Below are 21,670 nucleotides of genomic sequence, written 5' to 3'. Positions count from 1 at the left end.
AAAGAAAACACACAATCTCTGTTTTCAGAGAGTTGGGTTTGATTTCATTTGAGAGACAGGCACTTGAACAAGTTATAAAATTTGTATCATTTTCTATCAGAATTAAATACAATGTACATAATTTTGTTAATTGAACTGTCTCCCTCGTGGAATTATCTCCTTAAGTAATCGGGCCATAACTTAATTGTTTTGGTTTCCATGCATTCTAGCACAGTGGCTCACAGTGGGAGCTCAGATTGGACTGAAGTTTATTCCTTTTTTGTTGTTTTATTCTTAGTCAGCTTTCTCAGGCTGAATGGACTGAACTGTAATCTCACTTGAGGGATAATATTGTCATTAACTAAGAAGGAGAATAAAGAAAGGAAGACAAGGCAATTAGGGAGTGAATATGATGCTTAGATGGTAATTTCAGTAGTTTCAGACATTTTAAGCTTGAGATACCTATGGGGACCTATGTGGGGGATGTTTAGTAAGCAGTTGAATACAGACCCACAGTTGAAGAGTGAGGTTTACATCAGGGAGACATTTGCTAATCATCACTGTGCAGGTCTTGGTTAAAATGAAGGGAATGGTTGAGATCACTGAGGAAGAGAGTATAGAGAGACAAGAAAAGGGTGAAGGGTTCTGAATCGAACCCACAGAATATCAGCGTTTAAATAACTTGTGATGGGCAGTGCGGGAGTTGGGATATGAGAAACCGGTAAAAATACCAGGGAGGAGCTTTGAACAAAAAAGGATAGTGGTATGACGGGTGCTAATGGTATGGATACAAGTCCAAGTCTCATGAGGATTTGAGGAATAAATAAGAAATGAGGCTGTGGAGATATAGGTAGTAGGCTACTCTTGGTAGAGCTTAATTCTGAGGACATGTCAGGAAAAAGGACTGCATCTGTGAGCTTCATGGTTGAAGGAAGTGTTTTATTTTTTCCTTAAGATTGGTAAGATGAGCATATTTACAGGTTAAGGCAGAAATGAGTAGTATGGGAGTAAGAGGGAATAATTGAAGGGGCAATGTTTTAGGAGGGTTAGAAGGGGATAGGCCAGGAAATCAAACTGACTGGAGTTTAAAAAGTACTTTCCAATCTAGCTTTTTGGTGCATACTCAGAACAATCCAGTGTGGATGGTAGATGGTTATTTATCATAATCCCTATTTTACAGGTTGGTGATGGAGCCTCATGATGTTCTCATTAAGAAAACCTAATTTTTCTTTTTCTTTTTTTTTTTTTTTTTTGAGACAAAGTCTCACTCTGTCACCCAGGCTGGAGTGCAATGGCATGATCTCAGCTTACTGCAACCTCCTCCTCCTGGGTTCAAGCGATTCTTCTGCCTCAGCTTCCTGAGTAGCTGGGACTACAGGCATGTGCCACCACACCCAACTAATTTTTTAGTTTTAGTAGGGATGGGGTTTCATCATGTTGGCCAGACTGGTCTCTAACTCCAGACCTCAGGTGTTCTGCCTGCCTTGGCCTCCCAAAGTGTTGGGATTACAGGTGTGAGCCACCATGCTCACCGTGCACCAGCCAAGAAAACCTGATTTTTCTAATGAAAAATACTGCCTTTCCCTCTCCTCAAAAGAGATGAATTAATTATTTCATAAGACTATACCATTTTTCAAAATTGGTACCAGGAACTTTTCTATTGGAAAAAATAAAATAACTTAGACTTACAATAATATAAAGTTTAGAGAGAATTTGTATAAATCGTTATTTCTGCTTTCACCAAATTGCATATGATTAGATATGTAATCTAAGGAGCCTGCATCTCATTGTGGCTTTACTGTCATTCTCATGGTTGTATATCACTGCATTTTCTAGGGTAAATTATATCGTTCACTGATTTGGTAGTTTGGAGATACATAAAGGTCTTGGAATATGTTCCCATGAATGTAGAAGTTTATTGTAAATAAGTATCTTTGCTATCCTAATGATGCTACCATGGGATAATATTTATAAAAATGGCATTAGGCTAGCAAGTGTGCATGATAAAGATGTTTATTTTTATTTATTATCTCACTTATAAATATGAAGTATAAACAGGTACAACTAGAGAGGAAAACTTGCAGCCCATATTATACATGTGATAACTTTTAGTTGTATGATTGAGAATTTTTCCCCCTTAAAAATAACGCCTACAGTGTATGTATCTTCCTCCTTTATCCCTTGACTTCAAGATATGAAGTGCATTGGGGGACAGCATATTATAAGTCACTGTTATAAGTCACATATTATAAGTTGCTATTATTGGCTGGACGTGGTGGCTTATGCCTGTAATCCCAGCACTTTGGGAGGCTGGGGCAGGCAGATCACTTGAGGCCAGGAGTTCAAGACCAGCCTGTCTCTACTAAAAATACAAAAATTAGCCCACTGTGATGGTGCGCACCTGTAATCCCAGCTGCTCAGGAGGCTGAGGCAGGAGAATCACTTGAACCTAGGAGGCAGAGGTTGTAGTGAGCCAGGATCATGCCACTGCACTCCAGGCTGGGCAACACAGCAAGACTCTGTCTCAAAAAAAAAAATTGCTATTATTTAATGTTTTGTCATTAAAGAATAACTCATTTTTAAAATGTGTATTTGTCACACCACAATTTTGTGAGCATATTTCAGCCCAAGAATGAATTAGAAATCAAACAAAGATAAAGCAAGCTAAGACAAGTATTACTTATAGTAAGTACTTGGACTGCATCATATCGATTAACTTTTAGTGCATACTGATTTTGCAAGCAGATGTTTATACAAACCATTATTTTAAAATCATTTAAAGTAATAAAAGCATCTTCCTTCAGTTGGTATTATTACTACTTTTGTAACATTCCTTTTCCGAAGGCAGTACATTTTGTTAATATGCACACATGTCTACTTATTTTTCTAAAGAATATGCTTTCACAAATTTTTTATCAGACATGTAATCTCTGTAAGAAAGCTTTTCTTACTATCCAAAGTGGTACAGCTATCATTGTTTTCTTTTTGAATTAGTTCTCATTTTGAAATCAGAAAATTGTGTGGGCATTCATGTGTCTATTGTGGTAAATATGAAAATAAATGCCAGAAAATGGTTTAGTAGATAGGGGCTTCATCAGTTGAGGGCTGAAATGAAAGCCTCATTAGCCTGGTCCACATGCTTCAGTTGTTTGTTAGCTCTTTCTCATCACCTGTTTCCAGTCTCTGGCCGTACCTTGAACATTTATTTCCTTTTCTACATGCAGCAGCACAAGCTTTTAGTTCACTGATTATAGTGAAGGTTTTCCAGGTGCTGTGTAAGATATTAATAAATTAGAATATATTGTTTTCCATTGTCACCTTTGAATTACAATTTTTTCACATCTGTATGGAAAATGTTAATGCCTTCTTAGAGGTATACTTGTGAATAGTCAGCATTTTGTTAGAATCAGCCGGTTGTGTTAAGGGCACTATAATTGGTACTGATTATGTACAAAAGAACTAATAGATGTGGTCCCTTAACTCAAGATGCTTATATTTTTAAGGGGAAAGAGGACCAAAATTTATAAATAGTCCCCCGCTCCCCACCCACACACATACCCAAAGCTGCACCGGAATAGTTGCTGCAAGTTAAGTAGATAGTAAAGAGAGTGATAGGAAGTCTTGTGAGAAGCAGTATCTGCATGTGGATTATGTTACAAATTTAATGTCATTTAATGTTTTTGGTAAAATGTATAGTCACAATATATAAAATCACCTCCCTCCCTAATGCAACCAACACTAAGCTTCTTTTGTGAACTTGATGCATACTTTAATTATAAAGTGGTTAACTTTTAAAATTTTCACTTAATGTGTTATAACTAGGTAATAAAGTAGAAAATTGATTTTCATGACTCCAATTTTAAGTATCTGCATAATAGTCAATCAAGAATAGATATATCTACTTTTACTTAGCCATTCCCATTTTATCAGATATGTATAGCTTTTGGGATTGAATAAACCTGTGGCAAAAAATTATAGAATGTGAACAGTTTCTGTGTGTTCAGGCAAAGTAACTGAGAAGAAATACTGTAGTAACTTTATGTAGAAGGAATTGCATCATAGATGTTTTCCAGCAGATCAGATGGAGGTAAGAACAAAGAACAGCAGCAGCCTAGGTGGTGTATAGCTTTGAAAATACAGGGAAGTTCATTAGTCTAAAAATGCCATCTTGCCCAAGTGAGAAAGTGGCAGATTTCTTAACAAGTGAACGAGTGACTTGAAAAAGGTGGAATTGAGGAAGCCAAATGTTAAAGCTTATTAGCGTGTGTAGATTAGAGCCTTTATAGCCATTTTTTCAAACACTCCTTTAGAATATTTAAAAATCACTCATGTCATATGTCTGTGTGCATAAGTACATTGTATATATATTCCCTGATATTTAGCAATGACACTAGCATTTTTATATAAAGAAAACAAAACAAAGAGTGACCAGTGTATTAGTTTTCTATTCCAGCCTTAACAAATGCCACACATTTAGTGGATTAAAACAATGCCCATTTATTATCTCACAGTCTGTAGGTTAGAAATTGGACATGGGTCTTGCCAGGCTAAAATCAAGGTGTCAGCAAGGCTTATATTCCTTACTGGAGGCTCTGGGGAAGAATTTACTTCCAAGGTTATTTAAGTTGTTGGAGATCCTGTTTTTATGCTGGCTGTCAGTTGAAGCCTGGTCTTTCCTCCTAGAGGCTGCCCACATTCCTTCTCATGCTTTCCAGGATTTCCTAGAGGCCTCTGAAGTCCTTGCCTGTGGGTCCCATCTCAGAGCCTTCCCATGCTTCAGATCTCTCTAATTTATGCTGCTGTGTCACACTGCTTCCAACCTGAGAAAGTTTTCTGCTTTTAAAGGCCCATGCGATTAGATCAGACTACAGGGATATCCAGGATAATCTTTTCATCTAAGATCCTTAACCTTAATTACATCTGCAGAGCCCCTTTTACCATGTAACCTAACACATTCAGAGGATCCAGGAATTAGAGCATATGTGGAGGGTCACTGATTCGGCCTCTTATAGTGAAGGTTTTCTTTTGAGGTGGGAGTATGGAGTGAAAACAGCTTTTTGTATCACTTTTAATCAATTTTACATGTAAGTCACCATTCTTAATTCATGTAGAATACTAACATTTCCTGGAGTTTTGTAGCTAATTTACTTTACTAGTTTAATATATCTTAAAGTTGAAAAAAGGTATAAGAAATGAGTTCTTAACAGAAATATAAAAAGTTACTGATTTTCTTTTTAATGATATTGAAGGAAGATAGAAAAATCTTTCCTGTCTTATCAACCAGCTACCTAGAACAAGGCAAATAAACACTGCTGTAAATAGTAGACTTTGTAATGAGGTTACATATAGTGGCTGAGATGTACTGAGGTACTTTGTGTGAGAGCTGTTCAGTAATACATGCTCACACACCTTTTAGCATTCTAAGAGTTTGTTTTATTTATTGTTTATTGAACACATATTAAAGGAACTCTTACTGGTTGCCTCACATGATGTTAGGTTCTAGGGATACATTTATTTCTGCCTTTGTAGGACTGAATAGTTATCAGTAAAAAGAGAAGTTTAACTAAAGTAATTATAATAAATCATGATGACTCTTGGCATAGTGGAGGTATAATAGTTTTAATATCTGCAGTTGTTAAATTTCCTATTCTTCACTCATTGGGTTTCTTTAAAACATTGATCACTCTCTGGTTAAGTTATAAAGGAAAATTAGTGATTTTACACTGTGTTAGTCATAAAACACTAACAGTACAAAATAATAATGATGTTATGGGAAATAATATTCTTAAAAGGCCTGAGAAAGCATTGTGGCAGTATTTGTGATATATTAGCAACAAAAAGCAACTTGTTGAATGTTATGTAATAGAACTTTCTGTGATGATGGAAGTGTTCTATACCTGTACTGTTTAATCCAGTAGCCAATAGCCACTTACAGCTATTGAGCATTTGAAACATGGCTAGTGCTACTAAAGAACTGAATTTCAAATTTTATTTAATTTTATTTAATTAAAATTTTAATTTCAGCAATCAATTTTAGTTAATGGTATCTGTATTTGGTAGTGTAGTTCCATATTGTATTTGAAATTTATTTAAATAATTACATATTTTTAAAAAATCATAGTAGTGGGGCTTAGAGTTTCAAATCTGAGGTAGCCCTGGAAAAGCTATATGTATGGAGCTGTTATAAGCAATTGTGGCCACTGAGGGTCATGAGGCTCCTAAGTCAGGGCAGCTCTCACATGTACTGGTGGGGATTTTGCCTCTGTACCTGAATGAATTGTCCACCTGTGCAGGACTGTGGTAAGGATTCCATGGAAGAGGAATACTTGAAGCTGCCCAGCTAGCAAGCTGTGATTCCTGTCCTGGATCTTTCCAAGTAAACTGATGCCACAAGGGGTCTATGGCATAGTCTTGTGAGTCTAAATGTTTAGTTAACCTAAGAGCACCCCCTGGCATTCCAGAACCAATTAACCTTTATTTACTCAGAGTAAACACAAAACAAAATTAATAAATTGAGCTGAGGAAAGGCAGACTACCAAGACTCATCAAAAGTTTAATGCACTCTCAATTGTTTCTAATTACTATTTGGAAAGTAGTGCTAGAAAGGATAATACAAGATGAATTTTAAATGCCCACTTTTAGTAGTGGTATCTTGGTTCTTGACTTACTGCATACATACAATCTACCAGGAACAGTCATCAAATGTGTACAGTGGTGGAAACAAACAAAAATGTGTATAGCGGTGCATCTTCTCAGGTCTTATTGAGGTGTGTCCTTAATCATCCAATGTAAAGTCACTCTCACAAGTGCTTTATAATATTTTCTCACTATGTTATGTTTTCTTCTCAGCAACATCACTAGTTGGAATGATCGTTTTAATTTGTTTGCTTGTTCAGTATTTTTTTGCCTAGGGTATGAGCTCCATTAGATGAAGGAATTTGGCCATCTTGTTTACCACTATCTCCCCATTACTTATAAGAATGGCATAATAGGACCTCAGTAAACACTTGAATGAATGAATAAATGAATGAATGGATGAGTGAATTATAGAAACTGTCAGGTTAAAAAATTTTACCTTTAATTCCGTTTTCCAAGCTGCTAAATATTGAGACTGAATGAGATGGTAATTTGGACAAAAAGCTGATGGATTTTCTGTTATTTCCAAAGGATAACTATGATAAAGAAATGCTTTTTATCTTTGTAGAAATGTACTACTGTTTTTATCTTTTGTTTTGGGACATAGAACTCTTCTTTATGCAATCAGGAACTAATCATGGAGGACAGAGAGTACTTACTATTCCTCTGTGTGATCTCAGAAGTGCTCCCTCTTTTTCTTACCAATGACTTATTATTGGGGAACCTGCCCCGATATTCACATAGGTTCTTTTCTATTTTCCTTAAGCGTCAGCCAGCTTGAGAAATAAAGGGACAGAGTACAAAAGAGAGAAATTTTAAAGCTGGGTGTCCAGGGGAGACATCACATGTCGGTAGGTTCCGTGATGCCCCACAAGCCGCAAAAACCAGCAAGTTTTTATTAGGGATTTTCAAAAGGGGTGGGAGTGTGCGAATAGGTGTGGGTCACAGACATTAAGTACTTTACAAGGTAATAGAATATCACAAGGCAAGTGGAGGCAGGGCGAGATCACAGGACCACAGGACCAAGGCGAAATTAAAATTGCTAATGAAGTTTTGGGCACCATTGTTATTGATAGCATCTTATCAGGAGACAGGGTTTTTGAGATCAACAGGTCTGACCAAAATTTATTAGGCAGGAATTTCCTCTTCCTAATAAGCCTGGGAGCGCTATGGGAGACTGGGGTCTATTTCAGCCCTGCAGTCTCGACCATAAGAGATGGCTACGCCCAGGGGGGCCGTTCATAGGCCTACCCCCAGGCGGGCATTCTCTTTCTCAGGGATGTTCCTTGCTGAGAAAAGGAATTCAGCGATATTTCTCCCATTTGCTTTTGAAAGAAGAGAAATATGGCTCTGTTCTGCCTGGCTCACCGGCGGTCAGAGTTTAAGGTTCTCTCTCTTATTCACTGAACAATTGCTGTTATCTTGTTCTTTTTTCAAGGTGCCCAGATTTCATATTGCTCAAACACACATGCTGTACAATTTGTGCAGTTAATGCAATTATTACAGGGTCCTGAGGCGACATTCTCCTCAGCTGACAGGTTCAAGAGATGAAAGTAAAGACAGGCATAGGAAATCACAAGGGTATTGACTGGGGAAGTGATAAGTGTCCATGAAATCTTAACAATTTATGCTTAGAGATTGCAGTAAAGACAGGCGTAAGAAATTATAAAAGTATTAATTTGGGGAACTAATAAATGTCCATGAAATCTTCACAATCCACGTTCTTCTGCCATGGCTTCAGCCGGTCCCTCTGTTTGGGGTCCCCGACTTCCGGCAACAAGTTATTCAAATGTTGACCACTTGTATTCAAAAACAAAACCAGAAACAAAACTGTTACATACCTTGCTCTTTTGATCTATGAAATGAAACCCTTAAACATTATGAGGCATTGTCAATGGCTATGTGAGACTGAAGTGGTGTATAAGGAAAGGATGTAATGTGACTGTTGGACTGTGACTTTTAATAATAATCCTCATTAACTGTTCCAGCACCTCCTACCAAAGCTCCCAAAACATTGTGGCAGTTATTGGGGAACAAATGTGAGGGGATAATCCTAGAATGCCATAAATGTGTAATAGCTCATCTCAGTAGCATTCCACATTGTGTAAATTATTTGTGGGGGAATGGGAAGACGTTGTCCATCATTTTAACGTATTAATTTTGCTGGATGTTGGAACTTTATTCCCTCGACCTTTCACTTTTTCATGACTAGCCTATTATGAATCCTTTCTTTATTGTAGTCATTTGACTATCCTGGACCCAACCCAAAACCAAAACCATCTGTATTTGGGTTCATCATATTACTAGAATATATACTAAGAATATAGAGAGTAAAGGAACATAAAATTTTTACTCATGAAAATAGATATGTTTGTTGGGGGTCTTAAAGTTATATGGTGAAAATACCAATGTAAAGCTGTAGTTTGAATATATGTTACAGGGGTGTATGTGTGTATTTTACTTTTAAAATCAATTTTATTGAGGTACAATTTATACACAAAAAATCCACCCATTTAAAGGGTATAGTTCAATGTCTTTTGACAAATGTACAGATATTTTTATAGAAAAATGAGATGCAACTTTCACTTATCTTGGAGTTCATTGGATTTTGGTTATAACTTGAAATAAATAGGAAAATATGGGCCACATGGGGAAGATGAGGGAAACATAAAATAAAGTAGCAGTTGTACTATTTATAGTTCCTACCTGATATGGAAACCCCTATGGTCCTGATTTTTATGGATATTTTAGCCTCTTGGAATCATACAATTTCTCCCAGTTATAAAGAAAAATAGATCTTACACTGCATGTTGTCTGATGGTAGTTTTCTGTGGAGACATTTTTTTAAATAAAGTTGAATAAAATTTATGCTTGTGGAAAAATAATCTACATTCAACCAATTTAAAACAGAATTTTATTGATTGTGTTCTCATTTGGAATAACTGCAGGGAAAATCACCTGGGCTAATACAAGCTGGATATCATTTACTACGGATTTAGCTGGAGAAAAAAAACCCAAACTCATTTCAATTTCAGTGGTGACAGCTGTTGACTGAATTTTCCTGTGATATCCTTCACCACAGGAAATGATATATTGTAGCTTTGGTTCCTTTGATTTCCTACCCACCCAACAAATCCAAAGTGCAGGGACTGTGCTTTCTAAATGTCTGAGTGGCTTAGTTTATGTGGATAGGGTTTTTTTTTTTTAACACCCTAAGTGGGTAAAATTGTGATTGCAAAAAATAGATATATGGGTAATGTACAGAAACATTTATTTCCTCTTCCTGAATTGTTTTTCCATTTGTGCTATTATTACACCTGGCTTTATGTGAAAAGGCTGTATTGGAACTTGGTATACTTTTATGGAATGATGTAGGAGATTACAGTTCATTTTGAAAGATGTATTAGCTAACATTTTAATGGTCCAAATAAATATGTTTCTTTGATGCAGAGATCAGTTTTGATTATTTGTGATGCTTTCTTCACTGCTTTTTTATTTTATGCTAATTTAAAAAATATGATAAACTATAACCTGTCAGATAGAAAGGAGTAAATGGTGTTAACCTCTTTAGGCTTAAGAATACTGGGAAATGCTTGACAAAGAATGGAAATATGTTTTATATGTTATTGTTTTATGAATGTCAGAAACTCTGTCTGCTGGTGGGGAGGGAGGGCAGAGAAATACCCCCTGAGGATGAGGGAGGAACTCTTTCCACTCTGGCTTAGGATTTTGCTGTAAGCCACATTTGCATCCTGTCTATTATGGCTTCTTACAAATGAGAGAATGGACAGTTGCAATTAGGTATTGAGGTTGAGGTTGGCCAAGCAGCCCCAAAGCCTCGCAGATAAACATGTCACAGCTTTCTTTGTCCCCAGAGAAACAATTCAGGTTACCGCTAAGCTAATCAGAATTCAAGATTGCTTCCCTAATACTATAAATGGCAAACTATGACTTAAATATAAAAACTTGATTCCCAAGTAAAATGTTGTAAAAACAAGCACATTTACAATAAACTTGAAGCACTTCCTTTAGTTGGCCTAATTGCAGCCTGTATTTTGTTTATGACTGGCAGAGATTAATCTTAGTGTAGCAAATAGAAGTCAGGGCAAGTCATCTGGCTATTCTATAGGTATACCAAGTCCTCCAGCGAACTATTTGATTGTTTTATGTCATTGTGTCCTCACTATACAATAATGCTATCCAGTAGAATCATAATGAGAGCAACAAATGTAAGCCACATATATAATTATATATAATTTTAAATTACTCAGTGAAATTAATTTTGATAACATACCTTATTTAACTCTTATTCAAAATAGCTTTTATTTATTTTTTTAAGAGATGGGGTCTTGCTCTTTTGCCCAGGCTCAGCTACTTGAACTCCTAGGCTCAAGTAATCTTTCTTCCTTAGCTTCCTGAGTAGCTGGGACTACAGATATGTGCCACCACACCCAGCTCAAAATATTTTAATATGTAATCACTATGAAAAATTGTGAATGAAATATTTTACATTTTATGTACTAAGTCTTTGAAATCCAGTGTGTACTTTGTACTTGTTGAACATCTCAATTTAGTTTAAGCTACATTTCAAGTGCTCAATGGTCACATTTGGCTAATGGATACTACATAACAGTAAAGCTTTATAAAAATGGATTTCATTTAAATCTCTACTGTTTAAGTTGAATATTTGTACTTTGGACACTTCCTAAAAATGTAAATATAGACTATAATGATAGACTCACAAAATCTTCCAGATATCAGGTTATTCAAGGACATCTAAATTCTCCTATTAATACTTTGAGGTTAAACATTTTATGTGATAGTATGAAGAAGGTTGGAAGGAAATTATTTTTTCTAGTATTCATAGGAAGAAATTGGTGAACGTTAAGAACAGAGAAAAAAATCCAAAATGTTTAAGAATAATAAATTTAGGCCGAGATGATGATGATGTTTATTACAATTTAAGTGAAAAATACTGTGATAAACACTACAGACGTTTCATTTGTCCTCACAACAACTCTTTGAGAGCAGCACTTTTGTGATCTGTTTTATAATCCCTGTTTTACCAGTGATTAAGATGAAAGCAATTAAGAAATCTTTGCAAAATCACACAGATAGTGACTGTATGCAAACTTTTGCATGACTCTTGAATTCTGAAACTTACCCTCTTAATCACGCTTCTCTATTTATTGCCTGGTTCTTTTATGCCTCCATGATTGCCTTGGGCAAACTGGACATGGAGAAATTATACAAATGAAGAGAAGTTGCAGCCAACTCCTAAAGTGTTGCAACTATTCCACTACTTTCTGTTTACTCTGTCAAATTTTCATCAGTAGTCTGAAAAGGAGAAAATGACTGGCGTTGTAATCACCCATGAAAAGCTGACTTTTGCCCTCCCATTTTGTCAGTAATGCCTTGTGGCATTTATGTCACAGTAGTGGAGCTGGTGAATACCACTCTTGGAGCTGAGGTGTGATGATCCATCTTCTGCTAACAATCAGTGCCACAGCATGAAAAGATTATTATTATTTTTCTTAACCAGCTAATCTTGCCATGAGACCCATAAATCCACTTTCATGTAATTTCTGCTTTTTGTTTTCAACTCTGAGTTTCAAGACTCAAAAACAATTCCCTGTTGAGTACCTAAGTGCTCATATTGATATTCCTGGTACATTGAACAGGACTTAAATTTCTGTTGTTTCTACAAAGTCCAGGAGTAGGTCTGCCTTTCACTACAATTCACAGATCAGATGTGTGCAGATGTATCTGTTTCAGATTTATCCTTTTATATATCCATGGTATTTTTGCTCTGTACATTAGACGTTTGTGAGACAGTATTTGGGGGAAACTCTAGTTTAGTGTGGATGTGATTAATTATGCCTTGCTGTCTTGGTCATTCCCCAACCCCTGCATTCTCCAAAATTAGATTGATTTAATTGGATTTAAAATGGGATCATTTAAATTTGGTTGCGTAAATATGTGTTTTGTATGTTTTGAAAGTCTTAACCTTTCTCTTTTCAGCCTATAAATTATTGAAATTCTGTTAGCTTTATAATTTTCTGTTTACTGTGATTTTAAGCTATATTGGAAAACTAGCCATGCTGGCCTCTTATGTTTAATGAGTGAGATAATATGAGAGGGAAAATTCCTCAGGTGCGACTGTGTTTTAATTAAGTTTTATGTAAGTTTATTGAACAAATGCAACCATTAAAAGATGCTTTTGGCTGGGCACGGTGGCTCATGCCTGTAATCCCAGCACTTTGGGAGGCCGAGGCGGGCTGATCACCTGAGATCAGGAGTTCAAGACCAACCTGACCAACATGGAGAAATCCCGTCTCTACTGAAAGTACGAAATTAGCCAGGCATGGTGGCACGTGCATGTAATCCCAGCTACTCGGGAGGCTGAGGCAGGAGAATCACTTGAACCAGGGAGGCAGAGGTTGTGGTGAGCCGAGATCGTACCATTGCACTCCAGCCTGGGCAGCAAGAGCAAAACTCCGTCTCAAATTTAAAAAAAAAAAAAAAAAAGGATGCTTTTATATATTTTGTGTATCGTGAATTCTCTTATAGCAGAATATATAATTTAAGACCATCACCTCAAAACAAAACAAAAACACCAGATTACTTTTGTGTAGGCAGAGTTTGTTATACACAATTGCAAAATTCTGTTTTCTTAGAAGGCACTATTATATGTACACTTAGGTGTTTAGAAACCTGGAGAAAACCTCAAATTTTCATGAAAACAGAAACTTAGCACTATATTATTACAAAGGAAGTAGGACTTAAAGGGGTTTTTAAAATTATATTTTAATGGCCTTTGATTAAAGACCTATCTCAGGACCTACCTAATTTCCTACCGAATTTCTCCCCCACCCCCTGCCCACCTGCCTTTGCTTGTGTTTTTTCTCTAACCTAACCTCTTCATCTATAAACTACTTTTTAGAATTTTCTTGGCTTTGCTTCTCTTTTCTGCCCCTCCATGTGATAACCCTTCAGATTCCAAGAAAAAGACTTTATTATTCCAAAATGCTATGCCCTTATCACATTCTTACTTTAAAACCCCTTCAACAACCTTAATAAACTTTAATTACATACTTTTATGAACCTGGTCAAAATGTCAGAATGTTTTAATATATTCAACATTGTTAAACTACAAATGATAAAGATATTAAAACAACCAGGTCTTTGACTTTTTTTGTGATTATCACATCCTACTTCTAAACCTCCAAGCTTAAATTATTTTCCGACTACAATCTCTAATTCTTCCACTTTACTCCCTAGTTGCTCATTCCTACTGATTGTCATCTTCCTTTCATCCCAGACTTCTATTTCAGTTCCCCAAGTTCACCTCCCCCTGTGGCTCAGCAGGCTTCTCTATTCAACCTAGACCTGTTGTCTGGCATTTCAACAACATTCTAATAACATTCTAGAATCCTGTAGTCTGTGTTTCTAAAGCATAACTCTCTCTATTCAGTGCCATTGTATTGCTCAAAAATCTTTAATGCTCCACATTGCCTACCTTCTCCTCTCACCCTTCATTTAGAAGAGACCTCCCCTCTGCGGGCTTGAGGAACAATTGTTTTGAGCATTGTGGCACTCATCACATTATCCTCCCTGGACTATGTCTGGATCCTTCACTGCTTGGACCCTTCCTTGGCCACAAAGGTGCTTAATAAATGTACGCTGAGAAATAGGGGGGTCGTACAGGGATTCCTGAAGGTGTGTGCGTGGTGTTTTTTTGTTTGTTTGTTTTAGTAATTAGAATCTTTTACATCCAGATAAGGACAACAACAGGGATGTGGAAAAAAAGTGTCTTATAGAGAGAGAATCTGACAATCTAGTGATATTAGAAAAGTAGTTTGTCCTGGGTTTTATGCATTTATATGGTTCTGTTTCGGTAGTGAAGGTGTTTATTTTGCTGTTACAGTGCAGTAATTGTTACATTTTAGCAAAAATACACTATATCCTTTTACAATCCAGTGTCTTCAGTTAGATTTCTAATGTAATTGAATATTCACTGAACCACATCTTTATTGTTTTCACTACTTTTCTATAACCTGAGAAAACTGATATTTCACCCTTAATGCCTTTCACCTGATACTTTAGCAAATAAATTATGCATAGGGAGTGTAAGTAAATCACTGCAATTCCTTATCCATTACCACACATATTTATGGATGAAAAAAATTGATGCATAGCTTGCCTTGTCTTTTTTCCTTTTAAACTTGTGGAAAATTAGTGGCTAAACTGAGAATTAAGGAAATCAAATTCAGATTTTTCAAGATTCTCTGATTAATCAAACATTGCCCTTTATATTTGGCAAAATAGTCGTTAATGACATAATTTGAATTTTGTGACCCATTAAAATGTTCTTTGGTCTTCTATATTGAAAAAATGGTATTTGTGTTACATCTCACTTTATTCTTTTATGAAACATTAGGAGTAGGAAAGTTTTTATGCTTACTGAATCCCTTATTTAAAAAACTATGTTGGTGACAGTGAATGTCTCTCAAAATAAAGCTGTGAGTATTTTAAATGGACAGAAAACTGTTTTCTGCTGGGTTTGCATGTGTTTATAGATGTTGAAGCAATTAGAAATGTTTTTTGCATTTAAAAATGACTTTCTGTGTTTTCCCAATATAATTACTAAGACATGTTCCCTCATAAAATCGATCATTTTCAAATCATGAAAATAAGAATATATTTTGACAATTCATTAATATAGCAGCTTCATTTATTTGGCAGCAGTATGATAGAAAGCTGGCGCTGAGCTCTGAATGGAGAAGGGTGCGTCTCTTTCCCTGGCTACCTGTTAGGATTCTCCTTTAGAACCATCTTTTGGCACTTCCAGGTAAAAGCCAGTTTCATGAGCAAATGTGAATTGCTTTTAAGGGTTTTTTTATTTTATGGCAGCATTATTTGTTTTTCTTATACCTTGATTTTTGAGCTTCTGTCAATGATTCATTATTATGAGGAAAAAACTGTTCACCTGGAAACATTGTAAAGATGAGTGAAGAAAATTTATTATCAAAACTTGTATTTTCATAATTTCTTTGTAAGTTTATTCCTGAATTACAGTTTTATTGTTTAGGCTAAATAGTTTTTATCTTGTGGAAAGTGAAATCGTGGCTTGGAAGCACTCAGTCACTCAGGCTAGAAACTGATCTGTTATTCTTGACTTTTCTACCTCCTTCATCAAAGCATATCCATTCTTTTCCAGAAAATTTCCTGAACCCATCTATTGCCTTCCTTTCTCCATCGTTACCACTACTTTACTCAGGCTCTCACCTTTCCTCGCCTGGATGTAACATTGCCTACAGTATTCTTCCAGTTAGTTGCCAGTCCCTCCCCTTTCTAATTATTTCCCCACACTGCTTTGTTTCTCAAGTGTAAACTGGATTATGTCAGTTCTTGCCTCACATATTTTTCATGATTTTTCACTGCCTGCAGAGCATGGGATACAGGCTTCTCACCATCTGCCTTTCTTGTGTTGTATCTAACAATCCCCCTGCCCCCCAGCTATCCTTAACTAGTTCAAATAGGTTTAAGTAGCTGTGATGTTTATTATCACTTCCTCTAATGCAGACATAAGTAAGCCTTTCTGATTATAGATGAGTAGAGGAGAAATGTCATTCCTAATTCTGATACTTGACATCTTCATTTCTATCATATTCTTCCCCACCCCCATGGGTTCCATACTTGCCCACACTAGGCTGGTGGCCTTCTTTCTGTTACGTATATGTTTTTTTATAGAGTTTTTATTTTTTATTTTTGAGACAGGGTCTCAATCCCTCATCCAGGCTGGACTGCAGTGATGTGATCATAAATCACTGCAACATCAAACTCCTAGGCTCAAGCAATCCTCCCACCTCAGCCTCCTGAGTAGCTGAGACTACAGGTGCGTGCCACTACACCCAGCTAATTTTTTTTTTTTTTTTTTGTAGCGATGATGTCTTGCTATATGTTGCCCAGGCTGCTCTCTAACTCCTGGGCTCAAGCGGTCCTCCTGCTTTGGCTTCCCAAAGTGCTGGGAATAGAGGCATGAGCCACTAGGACTGGCCAAAAATATTTTTAGAAGTTTGATGTCTACACAGTTTAAGTCTACTTATATTCTCTCTGTAGGCATTTATACCAATAAAGTCTTTGCATTCATCGTTGCTAGCATTCTCTTGCTTTCTTTTTTTCCTTGAAATTTAGCCCTTTTGTATATTCTAGTGAGGTGTGGAAGAACAAGCATTTTATACTGTCATTTAGGCAAATGTATATGTCCTCTTTATATGTCTTCTCTTTGTACTTAGTATAGTATGCATTAATCTGGGCTGAGAACAACTTCCTTGTGGCATAGTAATCATTTGGCTTCATTTATTCAATAACTATAATTCTGTTTGTACATCATTTTACCATTTATAGAGGCCTTTCATATTTGTTTATTTGATCTGAACAATCCTGTTACATCATTGTAATCACGACCTTCAGCTGATAGACTAAGAAGCTGAGACTTATAAGGGTCAATGGCATGGCCTAGTACTTCCCAGCTGGGTGATGGCTCCTCTACAGGATCATGCTGTTGTCTCTCTTACAATCCTGTCATTTCTGTACTTACTGGTCAAGAATGCAATTGCTCTTTGTGCTGGAGTGTGCTTTACTGATTTTAATTAGCACTTTGGATACATTATTTCATTTGATTTCCCAGTATTTCTGTTAATTTAGGCAGGGCTGGCATTATTAGTGCCATTTTACAAATAAGGATGATGCAAATCAGAATGGTTAAGTGACTTGTCCCAGTTTGCAGAACTGGTATTTAAAGAACAAAAACCAGCCGGGTGCAGTGGCTCACGCCTGTAATCCCAGCACTTTGGGAGGCCGAGGCGGGTGGATTACGAGGTCAGGAGGTCGACACCATCCTGGCTAACACGGTGAAACCCCGTCACTGCTCAAAAATACAAAAATTAGCCGGGCGTGGTGATGGGCGCCTGTATTCCCAGCTACTCGGGAGGCTGAGGCAGGAGAATGGCGTGAACCCGGGAGGCGGAGCTTGCAGTGAGCCGAGATCGCCCCACTGCACTCCAGCCTGGGCGACAGACAGAGCGAGACTCCATCTCAAAAAAAAAAAAAATAAAATAAAAAACCCAAGAACGTGTCTTCATACTCCTAGCCTACTGCCATTCCCAATGCCCCATGCTGTAAGACATGTTGGAAAAAGAAATAACATTTTTATTCCTGAGATTTCACTGAAACAATTATCTGGTTATGCTGTGTACTAAAGTCTAAAACATTAAAGTTAAATGGCAGCTATCAATTTAACTTTGCATGAGTTTTATATGCCATTGTGCTACTGCAATTAATGGAATGCATAGAATCCAATAACACATTGTCAGAAAGGTGTTACTCAAGGGAAAGATAATTCAAGGCAAGGGAAAATAATACAAGAGGAGATGTGTTTTAGGATATGGTCTCATAGGGGAAGAAGAAGAATTTTTTCTTCAAGTCCTATAGGTTGGAAAGGACCCATGTAACAAAAGACAGATTAATAGGAGAAAAACAAACAAGTTTATTAACATTTTGTATCAGTTTTCTGTGCTTATAACAGAATATCTGAAATTGGGTAATTTATAAAGGAAACAAATTTATTTCTTACAGTTATGGAGGATGGGAAGTCCAAGGTCCAGAGGGTGCACCTGGTGAGAGCTTTCTTGCTGGTAGGGACTCTCTGAAGAGTCTTGAGGTGGTGTAGGGTATCACATGGCGAGGGGGCTGAGTCTGTTAACATGCCAGCTCAAGTCTCTCTTCCTCATTTTGTAAAGCCACAAGTTTCCTTCCCATGGCAACTCATTAATCTATTAATCCTCTATCCATTAATCCCACCTCTCAATACTGCCACATTAGGGATTAAATTTAAACATGAGTTTTGGAAGGGACAGATATTCAAACCATAGCACATGTGTGTGCTATGGAAGACATATGCATGGAAAACATCCAGAAAGTAAGTAGTTCTCAAAAAAGGTGCTTTCAATTCAAGTTTACGTAGCAAATTCAACTAAGAGCAATACATTTCTAGAGAAGTGACATGGCAAAGGAAAAGGACTTTGAGTCTCTGGTGGCAGCAACTTGTGAGAAGGCAAATAAATGGCAGATAAAGACCAGTTGGTAAAGCTTGTTCATATAGTTTCCTCTGGTATCATCTCCACATAATAAGAATCTGAAGTTATCTTCACTGATCAACCTTTGTTCTCACTGGTAAAAGGTGGGCAGGATGACTTTTGTCTTTGTAAATCTGTGTTTTGCTTTTAGGCAGATAGAGGGAGGGCAGAGAGCTTTCCTGAATCTGCTTCTTCTTAAATTGCCTTCGCTCAGTAATCCTTCATATTTTGGGGGTGGCATCTTCTGGTTTCCCTCAGTATTAGTCTACCCATTCTGCTCTCAGAGTAATTCTCAGGTCCTTCTTAGCCTGTAGAAGGAGGACTTGTAGGGAGGGGAAATCTGTACCTTTTTTTTTTCTTTTTTTTGATACAAGGTCTTACTCTGTCACCCAGGGTGGAGCATGATCTCAGCTCACTGCATCCTACACCTCCTGGGCTCAAGCCATCCTACTGCTTCAGCCTCCTGAGTAGCTGGGACTACAGGCACACACTACCACGCCTGGCCAATTTTTGTATTTTTTGTAGAGACAAGGTTTTGTCATGTTGTTGCTTAGGCTAGTCTTGAACTTCTGGGCTCAAGCCATCTGCCTGCCTCAGCCTCCAAAAGTGCTGGGATGACAGGTGTGAGCCAGCTATATTGTGGTTTTGCTTCATAATCCATACCCATTGTTTAATCAGTAAAATTGATTGATTATGGAAACAACAGCCTGTCTACAGAGCATCTTGAGCGTATATGTGGTTCAGCAGGAAGAATCTGTAACTGAGCAGATAGAAAGTAGTATCTGGATTTTTTGTTTGTTTGTTTGTTTGTTTTTTTGAGACAGAGTCTCGCTCTATAGCCTAGGCTCGAATGCTCAGGCATGATCATGGCTCACTACAGCCTTGATCTCCCTGGCTCAAGCAATCCTCTTACCTCAGCCTCCAGAGTAGCTAGGACTACAGGCATGCCACCATGCCCAGGTTTTTGTTTTTGTTTTTGTTTTTTTTTAATTTTTATTATTTGTAGAGACAGAGTCTTACTCTGTTGCCCCGGTGGAATTCTTTATGATCATAATGACTCTTCACTCCAGGGTTTCCCTTTAGTTGTGGTATTTGTATAATCTTTGGTTTGATTGTGAATTTCTATGTAATCTAGCAGCTGTTTTTTGCTATGTCACACCTGCATGCACCTGAGTCTGTGTTCATGGAGTTGGACATGAGTAGTGTGTTGTGTGAAGGAGGTGAAACATTACTGAGGTGGGTGGCTTAAGGTAGTATATACCAAGTTATGTTTCTTAATTTGAAGATAATCATGCAGGAAAATTTATTATAGGGAAAAGGATGATATGGTGCAGTGAAAAAATGGGGAATTAGGAATCAAAAGGTTTGAGTTCCCACTGTACTGCTGACTTGCTTTCTGATCCTAACAAGTTTCTAACTCCTCCAAGCCTCCATTCATCAAATGATATACAGAAACGCTCTTTCAGGGTGTTGCAAGGATCTAATTAGAGGCTATTGAGGACTCTTTGTACACTGTAAAATGCTATTCAGATATTATTTATTTTAATAAACAGTGATTGCTTTATGTCAGGCTCTTTAACAAAAATTCTTACAATTCAGACCTCCTATCAACACTGCAAAGCAGGCATTATTATCGCCATTAGTCAATAAGGCACCTGGCATACAGAGAGTAACTAAGTAACTTGCTCACCTACTACTTTTAAGTGATGATTCCCAATTTAAGTTCCAGCTGCTTTTTTGCTATGTTGTCGTGCTGTTAATAAAGGATAAATGGTAGAGGTTTGAACTTTAACAACTTGGATTATGCTTCTAAAAAAATGGAAGTGGTGCTCTAGACTAGGAGTCAGGAGGTTCAGACTGTTACTATATTTTTCAATTATTTTGGGGTAAGTTACTTAAATTAATTTCATTAAATACGTTTAAAACACTTGGCTATGTTTCTGCTAAGGTTTACATGTAAAATGCTTTCTTATTTTAATCATATTCATAATTTTAAAAATTTCCTTCAAAGGGATCAAAAGTATTTTGTGAATCTGTTTTAATATATTTTTTTCTTTTTTTAAAGTCATTCCTACACTGGCCAAGATTACAGTACCCAGGGAAATGTTGGGAAAATTTCTTTAGATCAGATTGATTTGGTAAGTAGAACATTCTTTTAAACTTAGAACTTTATCAGTGGAGAGAACATAGATTTTCTTAAATCAAAGACTTTTGGGTGAGGAGATAGAATACTATTTCACTGCTTGCTGATTAATTTTAAAGAAAATCCCATGTCCTACTTATATGATTTTAAAAAAATCATAGGAAAATCATTTAATCAGAAAATTATCTGTACTTTTATGAAAACCGAATTTAATCAACTATTCCAAACAGGAATTCTTTTAAATAGCTAAATGGAGTTTGTGTTTACATTTAAATACTGCATACATTTAATAAAGGGGAAATGGAAAACACTAAGTGTATTAGTTTGTTGGGGCTGTCATGACAACAGAAATTTATTTTCTCACAGTCTAGAGGCTCGAAATCCAAGATCAAAGAGATAGTAGGTTTGATTTCTTCCAGGGCCTTTCTTGTCTCACAGATGGCTGCCTTCTCCTTGTGTTCTCCTGTGGTTTTCCCACTGCTTGCATACATCCCTGGTGTCTCTTCTTTTTGTAAGGACACTGAGTATGTGAGACCAGAGCCCCACCCCCATGGCCTCCTTTAATCTTAATGAGTTCTTTAAAGGCCCCATCTCTAAATATAGTCACATTTGGAGCTACTAGAGGTCAGGACTTGATATATGAATTTCAGGGGGAGAGGACAATTCATCAACTAGTGTAGGCTATGAGATTAATAGGTAGCTTATTTTAGCATCATTTGACTTTGTGGTTCCATAGGGTAGTGTACTTTGCCATACTTGTAGAATTTCTCTT

At 36.9% G+C, this 21,670-nt stretch overlaps 1 pseudogene across 1 annotated transcript in view, besides 1 other annotated feature; it reads left to right on the top strand.

The window, feature by feature from the left end:
- LOC101930420 (DNA primase large subunit-like) overlaps positions 1 to 21,670 on the top strand; it is a 139,540-nt pseudogene that overhangs the window by 4,003 nt on the left and 113,867 nt on the right. The window contains exon 2 of the transcript NR_172933.1: positions 20,821 to 20,893. The product of NR_172933.1 is annotated as a DNA primase large subunit-like (transcript). The remainder of the gene's footprint in view (positions 1 to 20,820; positions 20,894 to 21,670) is intronic.
- Positions 1 to 21,670: part of a centromere (Linear centromere model derived predominantly from reads generated in PMID: 17803354. This region does not represent an actual centromere sequence, as long-range ordering of repeats and unmapped WGS contigs is not provided by the model. For details of model production, see http://arxiv.org/abs/1307.0035.) that runs on past both edges of the window.

The sequence above is a fragment of the Homo sapiens genome, chromosome 3 (assembly GCF_000001405.40).
Source record: "Homo sapiens chromosome 3, GRCh38.p14 Primary Assembly".
In the NCBI taxonomy this organism is placed as follows: Eukaryota; Metazoa; Chordata; class Mammalia; order Primates; family Hominidae; genus Homo; species Homo sapiens.
The sequence above is the reverse complement of the archived record's forward strand: the minus strand, read 5'-3'. Positions and strand labels throughout refer to the sequence as shown.